The 15,387-nt window shown below is 49.1% G+C and overlaps 1 protein-coding gene across 22 annotated transcripts in view, besides 2 other annotated features; it reads right to left on the bottom strand.

Annotated features, from left to right (window-relative positions):
* The window catches only part of CACNA1D (calcium voltage-gated channel subunit alpha1 D), a 319,123-nt gene that overhangs the window by 41,269 nt on the left and 262,467 nt on the right, over nt 1-15,387 (bottom strand). For 8 of the 22 annotated variants that reach the window (XM_011534094.3, XM_017007141.2, XM_017007137.2 and 5 more), the window contains 4 exons: nt 10,384-10,467; nt 9,831-9,914; nt 2,448-2,492; nt 1,913-2,041 (listed from right to left, as the gene is read on the bottom strand). In XM_011534094.3, the coding sequence (XP_011532396.1) occupies nt 1,913-2,041; nt 2,448-2,492; nt 9,831-9,914; nt 10,384-10,467 (342 nt within the window). The remainder of the gene's footprint in view (nt 1-1,912; nt 2,042-2,447; nt 2,493-9,830; nt 9,915-10,383; nt 10,468-15,387) is intronic. The other 14 variants (NM_001128839.3, XM_005265448.4, XM_047448874.1 and 11 more) reach the window with 4 other exon arrangements.
* Nucleotides 3,058-3,559: an enhancer, noted in NCBI's record as "H3K4me1 hESC enhancer chr3:53802933-53803434 (GRCh37/hg19 assembly coordinates)". NCBI's record gives its function as "activates a minimal SCP1, AML or CMV promoter by ChIP-STARR-seq in primed H9 embryonic stem cells {active_cell/tissue: H9 hESC(primed)}" and the evidence as "EXISTENCE:reporter gene assay evidence [ECO:0000049][PMID:30033119]".
* Nucleotides 7,843-8,359: an enhancer, noted in NCBI's record as "H3K4me1 hESC enhancer chr3:53798133-53798649 (GRCh37/hg19 assembly coordinates)". NCBI's record gives its function as "activates a minimal SCP1, AML or CMV promoter by ChIP-STARR-seq in naive H9 embryonic stem cells {active_cell/tissue: H9 hESC(naive)}" and the evidence as "EXISTENCE:reporter gene assay evidence [ECO:0000049][PMID:30033119]".

Here is a 15,387-nt window from a genome sequence, read left to right as displayed (position 1 = left end):
ACATTTAGAGTACTTCCACTTTCTTTTGTGGGTATGTTTTGGGGGGCGGTATTGTAGATAATGTCGCAAAGGAATATCTTTATGCAAAACCACCTTGCTTCTGCTGAAGTATTTCCTTAAGGTGAAGTCTTAGGAGTGGAATTACTGGGTCAGAGGGGAAGAACCACTTTCTGGCTGTGGCTGTAGGATGCAAAATACCTCTCTTAAGATGTACACCTTCTGAAAGAACTGCTAAGTTGGGGGGCTGGGCCAGGGAAGAAAAGGAGTGAGCTGGGGGGTCGCCAAGTGTGGCTCCCTTCATAAACACCAAATACAAGTACGAGTGTCTGACAGATCCCCCGTCCTTTCACTGAATGTCAACTGCTGTCTTACCTCATCACATGTGACCAACACGTCTACCTGCACAGGGTGCCCAGAGTGTTAGGCTTAATTCTGGGAACACATGCTTAAAGCACCCGCTTTCTCTACTATCCGAGAGAGCTTGTCAGAAAGTCAGTGGCTCACAGGTGCTCAGCCACCTTCAGACCTGTGCCAGCTGTTGACCTGTGCCTGCCAGCCTGGCCCTCCCTGCAGCTGGACTGCTCAGCAGGGTCCCACAGAGTTCGTTTCAGGCTTTCCTCAACATACCTACGTGCATTTTCTTCCTAGATTGCCAAATGTTTACGATTTTTGTTTGCACAGTTTCTCTGCTTTTATGAACTGCTGCTCTGGAACATGACTTTCTTATCTGTGGCAAATTGAATCTTTAAGAATTTCTTTAAAAAGTGAGATAACATTACCTCTGAATTATCTATTTTTATAGCAGTTTGTTCCCAAGTTTTGGTACTTTAAATGAATAATAACTGTCGAGGATTCTGTGCCTTAGCAAGTTCAAGGCTCACCTGCCTGAGGCCCCCACTTTACCTTCCTCCAACCTCATTCTCCCCAGCAGGATCTGTGACTTCCCTTGTGAGTGCCTGCACCACCCCGCTTGCTGTCCCTTCTCCCTTTTACCTGTGAAAATCCCATCTACTAGGGACAAATGCTTACTGGGAGGGTAACACTGGTTACCCCAGGGGTGGGTGAGGGCCAAGTTTGAAATTTCTCTTTATATACCTTTGGACAGCTTCATTTGTTATTGTAAACATTTATAACTTTTGAATGAAAAATAGTCAAATAATTTAAAAAATGAAGATGCAGGATTCACTTTCTAATGCTTGTAGATATCCACAAATTCCCTACATGGGTCCACCTTTTACTAAGAATCTATATTTCCCACACCTTCTCTTCCAAATGGAATCAGTCCAGAAGGCTAGAATGTCTGGGGCAGGGTACTGGCAGGTACGGGAAAAGCTGGTTCTACTTGGGAAAGTCTAGAACCGAGCTGTGCCAGCCTGGAGAATCAGAGGTGACAAATGAGACATGGTGTATGCCCAAACATCCCGAACTCTGTGACCCTTCCAGGTGCAGGATAACCCAGTGATAGTGCACTGGCCCAGGTGGTGGTTTCTGATTTGTATCTAGACTAGCCAACAGACACAGCACTGTTGTAGCCTTATGAGGAAAAGGTGTCAGAGAGAGGCTGTTGGGCTTCCAGGCAGTCTGCTGGGACCTGGCACTCACCACCACCACCAGGCATCCCGGGGGCACTGCAGGGCTGCAGGCCCCACACCTCTCTCAGTCTTGGAAATGCTACAGATCTCTCAGCTACGGATCCTTCCTGCTTTCTCTTCTGTTTCCTTTAGGCAAGTAATCCCATGTGATTGACCCAAGAAATGCTGATTTGGGTCTCTCCAGCATTCCATGTTTTCTATTGATTTAGGTCCACAGAGTGGCCACACAGGGGGAGCCTGGGTCCTCTAGGATGGGGACAATCACTGACTTACATATGATCTTCAAAGACAAAGAGAGAAGTCCTTGGCATGGCTCTTACCTGAAAGGACTTAATAAAAGTCCACAGCAATGTCCGGATGCCTTCCCCCCTGCTGAGAAGCTTCACCAATCGCATCACTCGGAAAAGACGGAAAAAGGTGATGGAGATTCTATTGCTCTCTTCAGAGTTCTGAAGGGTTATCATGGAGAGGTCAAACCCAATGGAAAGTAGAACATGCAACACTTTCAGAAAAACAGCAACAGATGCAAAGGTGACAGAGGTAAGAACTGAAGATGTGATTCTAGGGCCTTTTCATCTTAAAAAGCATGATATGAAAGGAAGAGTTACATGCTAACAACACAGAGCTCGGAAAACTGCGTCCACACAGCACATGCATGTCCACGTATTCTACTGTGTTAGAGGAGAACGCTGGGCTGGTCAAGAGTACTGGACACTGATGATGAATGCAAACCACTGCAGACACTGTTCTGGAAGGACAATCATGGAGAATACAGAAAAACCAGTGGAAAACTCGACATGGTCAAATAAACTTAAGGAAAAGGCCCAGCCCCTGGGGACTAGTCACTGATCTTACCCCAGGTGTAGCAGTTGGGACAGGGACATTTTCACTTTCAGTTGGCTTTAAGAAATCAAAGATTGAAAATGGATTAATGAACCAGGAAGGAGTCAATGGTTCCAGAGAGCATTTCCCCCTTTAAAAAAATGTGTGGTTCCCATCTTTAGACACCACACCTGCTCCCTCCCTGAGAAAATACCAGTGGCTCTCCTTGGAGGTGGACTTGAGGGCAGGCAGCCATGGACATGGGCATGGACACAGTACCACTTTCTAATTCACATCTGGGGACATGCTGTGCCCAGGCTGACAGGCATCCAGTAAAGGCAGTGCTGCAAGACCTCAACAGATGCAGAGTGTGCCCCCGCTTCTCGCGAGGAGGCTAGTTCTCTTGGCTTAGTCAGGGCTGTGGGTCTCAGGAACTAACCGCTCTGCAGCAGGCCTCCTAGCCCCGAGGAACAGAATGTCTCTAGCAGAGGGGCAAGCAGTGGTGCCTGCCTGCGGGCCACAAACCCCCTTGGACCACACTCTGTTCCTATGAGACTAAACGCCTGGGTGGTGTATGTCTGACAACAGCCTCTTAGGCAGGGCTGCTGAAAAGCTGGACAGACTGAGTCAGGGCGAGGAGGAGAGAGGCAGGCTTCCCTACAGAAACCCTCGCTGCCTGCCCCACAGCTCAGACAGCTTTCACATAAGAGGGAGTGCAGGTCCGTATGAGTCTTTGGAAGAAACAGTGGAGGACCAGCTCCCCTGTGGTTCAGCAGCTCCACCTCCTCCAGGGTCTGGCTGTGCTCCTGTCCCTCGGCCCCAGGATGCAGAATCTGTAATGACTGGTGCTTACCTGCCCCCCAACCCCCACCCCAGGGAGGGCAGGGGCCTTGCCTCACTCCACTCCGTGCCCAGCATGGTGCCTAGCACTACCTGAGTGTTCAGAAAGTGTCTGAGAGAACACAGAGGAGTTGGAAGCAAACTCCAGCCAGCACCAGGAGGCATCTTTACATTAAACAGCAACAGTCAGCGGAACCAGAGCCAGCATGTGCCAGCCTCTCTTTTCCCCTCAGTGGTGTCACCAGGAGCCGACAGAGAGAAATGAGGCTCTTCCGGTTAGGGGCTTCAAGGACGCTTTCTGTACAGTGTGTCTGCAAAGTTAAGGGACATGTGTGCACGTCTGGATGTGCTCACTTCTCGAGGGCCTCCTCCCTGGGGATCTGGGGAAAGGTAGAGCTCAGTTCTGAAGCCTCTCTAGCATCAAGGGCTACCTCCTGAGACCAAAGGGAAATTCTACAAAGTTCACAGAAAATAAGGGGTTTCAGCATATCACAGAAAAACTGAAATTCAGTAATGTGACAATGAACCCAAGAGGAACAGGTTCTGACAGAGTTTAAAAGGGGTCCTTGCTTCTCCTGGGATGCTCAGAATGGGAACTCTGCCACAGGTTTATCAAAAACCCAGGATTGCTATTTTTATTTCCCTCTTCTATTAGTTCGTCTCAAAAGAAATATCAGCTCCTTAAAGGGACAGACAATGTTTTTCAACTTAAGACCTTAACAAATGAAGGAACTAATTTTTTAAAGTTCTCATCATTTTCCACATCATTCTCACTAAGGCTGTGCACAGGAAGGTTCCACTCTTCCCTCTCTGGCTGGAGTGTGGGGTGTGAGTGTGCATGCTAAGTGTGCCCGCATGTGCACCTCTGCTTGCCTGTGTTCAGGGGACCAGGCAGTGTGCACGAGAGAGACGGCTCTACAGTTATCCTTCTGAAATGTGCACAACTTATGTATCAGACCTGCAAGACAGTAAGGGGCCTGTTGGTCAGGGAAGACACTCCTGGCCACAGTCTGGCCTAAGACCCTCCTGCGGGCCTCTCCCTATTCTGCTTCAAGTCTGATACGCCATCCACGGCCCCCTTCCTTAGAGTTTGTGAAAGTCAGCAACCGAACTGAATTTCGAAGTGTACATCTCTTCAACTGATATCTTTGAAACTGACAACCTATGGACTATGAACTTCAAACCATGAATATTCTGTTTAAAAGAACAAAAGGGAAGAGGAGACAGCATTTGTAAAGGGAGAGGGCAGCACAACATGCGAGGGAGGGAGGAAGGAAAGAGCAAACAGCACACCAGGCTTCATGCACCCTCAGTGCGCCTGCGACACCTCCCCTCCCACCACACACCACTGGGCATGGGGGGCTGCTTCAGGGGAGGATGTGACTGGCAGCCCCGGGGGGACAGTGCAAGTTGCCAAAATATCTTACAAATTTAAAGAACCCTGAGGATGGCTTTTCCCAAATGACAAATGTCAGCCCAATGAAAAGGGGAGGCCAGCTCTCATACTAGCCTGAACACTAAAACCACCTGGGGATCTTTAACAAAATCTCTGAAGCCCAGGTCCCACCCCAGGGATTCTTACTTAATGGATCTGGGGCGTATCTGCATGTTGGGAATTTTATTTTGTTGTTTTTTTTTTTTTTTTGAGATAGAGTCTCCCTCTGTCACCCAGGCTGGAGTGCAGTGGCATGATCTTGGCTCACTGCAACCTCTGCCTACAGGATATCAGCAATTCTTCTGCCTCAGCCTCCTGAGTAGCTGGGATAACAGGCGCCCGCCACCATGCCTGCCGAATTTTTTGTATTTTCAGTAGAGATGAGGTTTCACCATGTTGGCCAGACTGGTCTCCAACTCCTGACCTCAGGTGATCTGCCTATCTCGGCCTCCCAAAGTGCTGGGATTACAGGCATGAGCCACTGCGCCAGACCTCCATGTTGGGAATTTTAAAAGCTCCTTGGTGATTCAAATATGCTGCCAGAGCTGAGAACTCCAGTCCTGGGCCAGGGTAAAGCTGGCCCGAGTAGTTAACAGGTGGCCTATACCAGCTAATGCCCTTTAGATCTCGAGCGGCCATACAGAGTGGGGTCACTAGAAAAGCCCACTCAGGCTGCTGTGGCTGAACAGTGGGTTCTTTCTGGGTTGACGAGGGAACAGTACACGGATGAAGAGAGAGCGATTAGACTCCATCCCCATCTCCCCTACAAGGGATGGAGGAGGTTTCAACATGAAGGGAACTGGTGGAGCTGGAACGCAAGTGGGCTACGCTATGCTGGACACCCCTAGAGGACACCAGACTGGGGAAGGACTCTTCACTAGGTAGCTTTCCAAACATGGCCACAAGGGGCTACTAATCAGTTTTCAATAAGCGGAATTCCAGTGTCACCTCAGGGCTTGGACAAGACAAACTTGGCAGTTCCTTCCCACCCTAAGATGTCACATTCTTCAGCTGGGAACCCTACAGGAGACAGCCCCTTAGCCTCAGGAGGCCGGACTACATGTCAGGGTCCAGAAAGCTCCTTAGATTCCTGGGGCTCTGCTGATGTTCCCTCGAGCCTCTTCCCACAGGGCTCTCAAGCAGGCTCTTACCACATAGGCTCTGGGGCAGCCCCCTGCAACCGTGGAAGTCAAAAAGACCCTGAGGTTCCCAAGTGAAATCAATGAAATCAGTCCATTTCATTTTCTGTTTTAATTTCTATCTGTGCTTGGAAGAGCTGAGAGGATGCAGCTTTCTAATTCAGATAGGAAGCAAACCAGCATCCCAGAACAGCTGGGCCAGGTAACCCGAGGCATTGCGGAGAAGCCAGTCTTCCCTCTGACTATTTCTGAGCTCACAGGTAACACCTCTGGGAGGAGGGCTTCTTTATTTGGGGTTGCTGGGTCTGTGTCCACAACCCAGTGCCCAGCTGAGCTGGCTCCTGGGAAAGGGTTCACATATGAAATGGGGGACTACACAACCTTACTGTGGGGTCAGAAAAAGAAGATGAGTGAGACTGTCAGCCACCTGGTCCAAACAGCATACCTTAAAAGGCAGGGACCATTCCTGGATCTCTGAGAGTGAGCTCCCTAATGACTTTTTACCTGCTCCTTCAAAGTAAGTAATAATAAGGCAGATACAGCTTCTAAACAAGTGTTTTGCCTCCCAGACACTAATGATAATGAGAAGAGACAAATGTCAGTGACAGCCATCCATGGGTTAGGGACAGTATGTTGCTGGGTCATTTCATCATTCAAGGAACAAACAGGCATCAAAGAGGGACGGAGCAAGAGGGAGCCCAGCAGTCACAGTGTGTCATTTTAGCAGCCTGGTGAGGTTAGGACCAAATGTGATGGAGATAAGTCCATGAGTGCTGCCAAACCAGGAACTGAGCGGGGTGTGGGGACATGGGAGGGGGACAGTAGGATGAAGCAGGCTGGTGCGTGCGCAGGCAGGACCATGCAAAGGACTACCCAAAACGTTTTTGCAAAGAATACAAACGCAGGCTGAATTCAATCATTTCTCAGCCAGATCATTCATTCTGGAAGACTATGTTGGCAAGTCACAGAGCCAAGTGTGACTGACCAAGATGGCCCCAGGCTGGAGATGACAATCTATGGGATGGGGAACAATTTAGATGATTGCAACCAATCCTTAGCACGTCCTGTGGAGCGCAGTGAAAACCAAAGGTGGAGAGGCCAAAAACAAGCACACATTCTTTAGAAGTGCTTTGCTTTAAGGACTTCACCGTATATATGCTTATATATACTTGCCGCTACAATTTTCTAAAAATAAAACCAACATGAAAATCAATTAGGCAACAGAAAAGAAAGATCAACAGAGTTTGGGGAAGAGAGCATGGCAGGTTAAACATTGCAAACAATGATGACTTATGGCAGCTACAACCAGCCAATGATGAACCAAAGGTGTTCACACCCAGCTGACAGCTGACCCCTCAGCTCAGGGGACAAGGCCACCAAGGATGTGATGTGCACTGCTCCCCAGGGGAACTACATGTGGAGGGGAGTGGGGTGTCAGAACCAACAGTCCCACTGTCATGTATTTACACCAGAGGTTAAGGACACCCAGTCCTTTTTTATCTTTGTGCCTCCCCACAGCCTAGCCCAGAGCCTGTAAGTGATAGATGCCCAGTGAATGTGTGTTGAAAGATGGAATAAATGTGAAGGTGGCCTTGAGCATCCCCTCTGTTCCAAGGCCCAGCAAGGAGACACTGAGATTTCTGAAGGTGGTGTTCTGCTGGCCTGGGGTAGGGAACTGGCATTGCCATGGCTGAGGAATATATCTGGTCTCAGGCCACAGCTGACCAGGAAAAAGGTCACTGACTGAAAGCACACTATGGGAGTGTCTGCCTAGGTGATTTTGAAAGTTTAATTGCATGCCAAGAAGGGGCCCCCTGAAAGCCTGTGTTGCACAGATACCCCAATGTCAAATGCTAACTAGAAACTTCAGCGTAGACCTGCCCCTTTCCTGACTGGTGCAAGGTGAACACAGCAACACTGATACACTGATGAGCAAAGCTGGGCCACAGGGGACAGGGGCAGCGGGAGGAGCAGGGCCAGCCTGCAGCACACGTGAGGCAGCCAGGAAGCCGGGCGCGTGCTGTCCCTGAGTACATGGGTGCTACACCCCTGCCAGCCAGCAGGCAGGTCAGGCGTGAGAAAGCTGGGTGTCCCCAGGTGGACAGACCTTGGCCACATCCTGGTGCCCGGAAGCTAAGTGTTTACACCCACCACCTGCACAGCACTTGAAGTGCTGAGCAGTCCAGGGAGATCTGCCCTGCTGCTGGTTTATTGTATTTTCGCTTCCATTATAGGCCATCTCTGGCTCACAGAAGGGTATGTTCCAGAATTTTCATGTAAATATACCTCCGAGTAGATTGTAAGCACTTTGCGTTGTGAGATGATTAAGGTGGCAGATGTCTAGCCATAAACTTCGGAGAGAGCTCAGGGCAGCCCAGTTAGGGACCTGCTGTTCTCCCATTAGCACCAGCTTATTTTACAACCAAGCATCATTTACATATCTGAATGGCAATTTTATAGCTGACACATGGAACATTTCACATGAAGTAGAATTTACATGTCTGGGCTTTAGAAGTTGGAATATGTGTATACCTAGGTCTAGCAAAATACCATCTGAGTGCCTGGTCATAGCGTGGCATGACGAGGCTTAAATCACACCCTCATGGGCACAGTCACGTCTGACAGTCTGTTTTACTTATTACAGGGAAAATCTACACTTAGAATAATACAAAACTTGTATCTCCCTAAAACTTTGGGGTTTTTAGCAAGCATTTTCCCGAATATTCCGATCATTTTATCACTATAACATATCTGCAGCAAGGGGGCAGATGTTATTCACCCCACTTGGCCCATGAGGGAGCTGGAATCCAAGTCAGTTTGGAACTAGGGCTGCAACTGCCAGGTCTTAGGACTGCCAGGCTGGTGGCTGTCTTACTATTCACACGCCAGGATCAGCATGGACCCAGATAGGTGGCATACAGGGATTTCACAGTCCTTGTGTGATGCAGGCTGTCTGGGCACCAGGATGGACCTTATAATCCTCAATCCTGCAGATGTCACCAGGCAGAGCATCAGGGGCAGGGGGTGGGCTGGACATTGTGGAGCAAAAGCCAATACCACACAACAGTCCCTCCCCGTGCTCCGCCCACTCTCTCGAAAGGCTCTGCACAGGCTCGGCACACACACTGGACGCCCACTAAGACTTGCTGATGAACTGGGAACAGATCAGGTAGACAGGGCCCTTTCTGCCTGCCTGAGGCCTTCCGGTCTAGCATGGGTCAGACCCAAGGGGAGCCAGGCAGAAGGAGGGGCTCCCTTTCTCACGCTTCTTAATTTTGCAGGGGGAGAGGTGCTCAGAGTGCTTCTAGGGAGAGTGGTTCACTCCATCTACAATGCCACTACTGCACTTGTTCCCCCTCAAGTGAATCTACTGGATGTAACAAAGGCGGACTGACACCCTCTCCCTGGTTTGCACTCGGCCCTCTTTTCCCTGGCCCCAAGCAGCCTTCCACTGGCTGGCATCACCCTTTGGGTGTGGGACGTTCACCAGTGTCACCAGTCAGACTCAGAGCAGACACGGTACAGGTGAGGGCACCAGCAGCAGCCACCACAGGCTCAGGGCATAGCTGGCTGTGGGGTCTCCTGCCTGTGCCCTCACAGAACCATTGCGGGGACGAGGGTGCACATCAGTAACTCCATGTACAGCTGGAAAGACTGAGGCACATAGCACTCGGATGACTTCCACGGTCACACGACTGGTGAGTGACAACATTCACACGGACACACAATTAACTCCCAGCCCTTATAACTTTAATTAGATCTTTTGAAATACTATTCTAGTTCCAAAAGGCAATTCTACATAGACTTCCCCACTCTTTTTCAGGGGAAGGAGATAGAGATGGGGTGAGATAGAGGAAACTACAAATTATCCTTAGTCTTTCAAAATAAATTTGTGTCTGGATTTCTAAAGTGTGTGGAGATTTAAGGGCAGGGCCTCTAGTCTCTTCTATGTCAGACTTAATGAAAACAACCATGATATAGGACACAAAGTTTGCTACTTACATTCACTTCAGTTATAGCAATATCAACGACGCTACCAACAACAATTAAGGCATCAAAAGTGTTCCATGCATCAGTGAAATAGTGCTGTTAGGGCAAGCATTCAGAAGCCACAGAGGAGAGGAAGCACCACAGGAAAAAAGAAGAAAAGGACAGTGTTACAAAAGGGGAACATTCTAGCATCGCGCCACACGGCGACTTGAAACATCCCCCTAAAATAAACATGTTATAGATACGCCACTGTGGGTATCACTTCTGACACAGCAAATGAAAACAATTAGAGACATCCTATCTTACCTTGCCTACTAGTGACCAGGGTAAATGCTGCAAAAAGGCCTGTCCTCCAAAAGGTGATTTGTGTCTACAAAAGGCCCTGGGATAAGGCTCTACCCTGAAACACGTCTTGCCTACAGCTCTCATTAGGAAATCCTAGTTTCAGATCAAGTGACTGGGATCTGTGACTTGTCCAGGTGATGCCACTGCAGGGCAGGGAGCGGAGTATGCACAGACAGAGGAGAGAGGACACAGGTGGCGGCCACGCCAGGTGCATACTCACGTCTGCTTCGCTGAGGGCCACGTCTATAATGCTGCCGATTACGATGAGGGAGTCAAACGTGTTCCAGGCGTCACTAAAATACCCCTGGACAGAGCAGGCGAGGGCAGATGTTTATGAGCATGTATGAATGACCCACCACACGGACCGTATAGGGGCGAATCCGAGTCCCTGCCGCACCCATGGCACCCAGGTAGGGTGGGAAAGCCAAAGGGGAAGTAACAATACTGTCCACTGGTGGAAAGGGGCACAGCAGGGTGGTTGTGCACCTTTATGTGTGAGAGAAGGTGCACGCCCACGCACACACGCACGTGTGCATACACACACACACACACACACTCACGGTCCTGAGTGGCACCAAACCAAGCAGGATATCTACAGGGCAGAGGAAGGCATTTTGGCAACCTTGTCCTGGTACCCAGAGGGATGATCCCAAACCCTCACGATCTGATGGACTCCTTCCTTAGAATCTCCATTCACCCCACTTAAAGAGCACTGTCACCAGGTATTGCACACATTTCCATTTCTGTGCTCCTTCAAATGGGCCAGCAATGCTCTCCAGTCCTCGCAAGTCCAGCCTGTATTACAAAGGCCATGCCTTGTGGCAGGATGACTGAGACAAGTCCCTGTCTTCAAAGAACTCTCAGTGTAGACGACACAGACGGGTAGATAATGGCTTACGGGGACACAGGCACCGTGAGGCACAGCGTCGTGGCAGAGACACTGGCTCCTTGTCATGGGGGTGGTGCTTAGTGTGGGGAAGTCAAGGCAGGCTCTATAGTAGAAAAGAGTATGGAATGAAGAGGATGTTCCAGGGCTCCCTCTGTCCTTCAAAGAAGCCAATAGGCTCCTTCTTCCATCTCAGCTTTTGCTTTCTTTCCCTCCCACTTTTCACCCTCTAGGCTGAGAGGAGTCCTTCCCATCCTTCGAAAATAGCACCAGGTTCCTCCCCACCTCCTGATGTCTCTGCAATCCTAATTGCCTAACCCCAACTCCATCTGTTCAACTTCACCCTTCTTCAAGGTCAGATAAATGTTCCCTGATGGAACCTTCGCAGTCCCGGCTGTCTGCACTCCCTCAGGCTGACGCTGAATCTCTTACGTACTGATGGCTGAATGTGGGGTCTTTGTCTGCAGCTCTACCAATCAAAAGCCCTGAAGGATGATGACTGTGCTGCATATTCAGTCCCCCAACTTCCCTAACCCCATTATCTAGCCAGAGCCTTGAACCCAGTCAGTGCTTGACATGGGCAATGTCCCCTTTGTCCACCAACTTGCACCCTGCCTGTCATCCAGCTTTGTCTGGTTGTTTGTTCAGGTCCTGCTATCTTGCAACAATTTTGAGGGTACAACATCCCCACAATTGTAACTTAAAATCTATATGTATGTGCCGGACATTTTACATCTTCTTCCAGCATCAGCACAGCAGGTGCTAAATGAGTGCCTGTGGTCTCTCGACACCCCTGGGAAGCTCCCGGTTGGAGAGGGTGGTGGGGAGATACTGCACAGACAGCCAAAGAGGCAACGGACTGACTGTCAAGATCAACAGCTCTGTCTATAAACCAACTGTGTTTTTCCAAAGAGTCTGGACGCTTTTTGGAAATGAAAATTCAGGTACATATTATATAAAATGGGGCCCAGCCTGTTTACAACGGGGTACATTTAGTGCTGCATTAAGAAAACCAGAACAAAAAGTACTTTGAGGTGTCAGGTCCCAGAAACTTGTGATCAAACACAGACCCAGAAGAAGCCACTGCAGAACCACAGCCTTTTGCGACAGTATAGAAGATGTGGACGTACTGACTGTCCTAACAGCTGGAGTAGGGATGTTTATTCTAGTCACCATCCATCAGTCTAGGTGCATTTATGGGGGAGCTACGACACTGACTTCGGGTTTGCTTCTTAAATTTAATCTTAATAATGTAAGATTCCCCCACCCAACCGCCGTGGTTTCTAACCAACTCTCCACCTCTCTCCCCGCCCTATGATCACAGTGCCTCTCTCCCATTTTACCCTCACTGACTGCTACCCTCCCTGGCCCATCTATCAGCAGACAAAAGGAATTTGTGAGCCCCAAATCTGATGATCTATGTATAAAAGTCTAATGGGAAGGGCTATTTTAAAAACAGCACAGCTTATGCTTTCTAGCTTTCCTTTGCATGAATTCATGATTCTTGGCTGGCAAAACTGAGCAGAGATGGGCTGCCTTTGAGGTCTAGACTAGCAGTCAGAGGTGAGATCAAGAGCTAGCCTCAGGTTGTAAGGGAACACAGCAGTTTCCTTCGTCCAAGAAGTCTCCTAACAAGAAAGCCAGCTGAATCAATGTGCTTAGTGTTAGAGCTGACAGCTCTTGTTGCGAATGGATAACAAGCAGTTCTCTGACTGGTGGCAGTGCCACAGACCACACTTGGAGGGGCAGAGCCTGCCCTTTTCTTCATGGAGTTAAGAGTAACTCAAAAGCTAAAGAAAGCACAGTGATCCTTCCCCTCCCCTCTAGGAAGGAATTTACACCTTGATCAAAAACTTGGTCACAAGTAGCAACTAGACCTCCAGAGTACTGACAAGGCGGAGGAGACCCAGCGTTCGCCCTTCGCACCTGCTGTGGTGCGTGCCCCAGCCCCGCCTGCATTTGTACCGTGTGCGCCGCTTCTCTCCATTATTTATGTCATTTCCCAAAGGCCAAACCCACCACATGGGTGCTGGAGGCCAGCCTCTGACTTTGAGATTTTATTCCTGAACAGCTCCTCTCTCCCTCTCTCCAGAATTATCAGTGTTCTCCCCTTCAGGCCATTTCCATCAGCCTATAAGATATTCTCAATGCTGGTGCACTGTGATGGATAAAATCCGTTTAAATCAACACAATAGGGGCTTAATATTTCCTTGGGGTCTTGGAATTTTTTGGCAATTTCATTGACTCTCTCTCCAGAAACCCCTCACACTCATAAAACTGTGCCCAAATTGGAATGATTGATGGACTGAAGGTTGACACCCTTAATCTAGGAAGCAGAAGGCAGGTGGCTGAAATCACAGGCTCTGACCAGGTGGCTCTGACAGGAGTCCAGGGGAGGGAGAAAATGTCAGCCCTCCCATTCTTCCCACATACTGTTTCCCTATTTAGTAGCCTCTTGTTTAATAAAATCACCGTCAAGTGGCATGACTCAGTTCCCCCACCCTTCTCCCACCAAAGGCACCATATTGCCTTTGTAACCAGAAGATAAGATACAAGAAATGACACGGCTCCTAACAGAGGGCCCCTCTCCCTGCTCTCTCCTCTTGGCCTATGATGATGTGTTCTCCTACAACTGAATTCTGAGGCCAGAACCTCTCAAGTGGAACCAGCAGTCAAATCTATATTATTTTTGTGTCCAGCTCTACCTGTCTGAAAAGACCAAACAAGTCAGCCACATGCAATATGTATTGCGCAGAAACATTTCTGACTCTGGAAATTTAAAATCATAAACCAGACTAATGTGGGCCTCAGGGTCAGGAAGCACCACTATGTCTAAGAACCCTATTGTCACCATCCATCAATGTTTGTCTCCTGCTGGACAGTGGGCTCCTGGAAGGCACATCTCTTATTCCTGGCCCTCTTGCCAGGATATGGCACAGGCGTTGCACATGGTAAGGGGGCAATGTTTGTGGAACGGTTGCAAATGGGAAACAAGAAAAGTGACCCAAGTTCAGATTCCTTTTGCTGCCTGGATTCACTCCCATCTGCAGATCGGTAGAAGCCTATATAAATAATGTGCCTTTTGTCATTGATCATGGCAGCCAGATCTCTTACCCATGCTGGCAGGGATTATTTGGGTAGCATTTGACCCAAGTGATAACCCAAAGTGCCAACTTTTGGTAGAAACTATGCCTGACAGCTTTCTAACTAGCAAAAGCCTTTCCAAAGGTAAGCGGGGAATTAAGGGAAGATGTGCTCCACTCTGCTCTACCCAGATACCCTGCGACAGAAAAGCAGGTATCGTCTCATGCCCAGAGGCTGCACTTCCAGGATCATCCCTTTATTCCTTTCTTCATTCCACCAATCTTACTGAGCTACCACCAGGAAGCTACCACCAGGCATCATGTGAGGTACCACAGAGCCAGAAGCAGAAGACTCAGCCTGAGACCTCAAGCAGCTGCTCACCAACAAACAGAGAGGCAGACATGGAGTAGTGTTGGTAACGATGGTGCATAGTAGGCCCCCAACGGATGCATGAGCAGAGGACAGGGCTGGCTCTGGCTGGGGTGAGGATGCTGTCTCAGAGAAGATAACATTTCCCACAGGCCTTCAAGGATAACAAAGAGGAAGCAGGGTATCTAGACAGAGGCGCATGGGCAGGGAAAGGTCTAGCATGCCAACACCTGGGGATGGGGTGGGGACGAAGAAATAGCAGGGAGGGAATGGCAGGAAATGAGGCAGAAATATACAGGGGCCAGTGCTTCATGGAGGACTTTGAATATTCGACTAAGAAAATTGTATATGCTTTCTCAAGCAATAGGTGGCCAGTGCCAAAATATCACTGCAAGAGTGGTCTGGTCAGCTTTGGGCTTACAAAGGGAGTAGGTAGAAGGGCTGAGGCCAGAGGCAGGGAGATCATTTTGAAGGCAGGGAGGCATAGAAGCTCAGGAGAGAGAAGGGCAGTGCAGGTCTGCATGCCACAGAGGCGGCCACTGACGCTCTGGCATGTATGCATCTTACCAGGCAAGAAGGGGACCAGGAGAGGGCTCTGGGAAACCTCAATGTCAAAAGGACAGGATGGAGCCCAACAAGAAGCCCAATGTAAAGTTCTAAGGACAGTAATACTTGGTTTCAAGTATTATTTGCCATTAAAAGTAAATCTAGAACAGATGGGGTCATGAAGAACTGAAAAAAAAACAGTGTCAAATTTTCTCTCCAGCAGGTGGAAAAGGTACTCTAGGAAGATCATGAAGAAGCTCTACTCTTGCAAGGGACCCTGGAGCAGCGAACAGAGCCCTTGAAGGCAGATGAGGACTCAGTGCCCATTCTGCATCAGCT

This window comes from Homo sapiens, chromosome 3, assembly GCF_000001405.40.
Source record: "Homo sapiens chromosome 3, GRCh38.p14 Primary Assembly".
Taxonomy (NCBI): Eukaryota; Metazoa; Chordata; class Mammalia; order Primates; family Hominidae; genus Homo; species Homo sapiens.
Note: the sequence above shows the minus strand (reverse complement) of the source record. Positions and strands in the feature narration are given on the sequence as shown.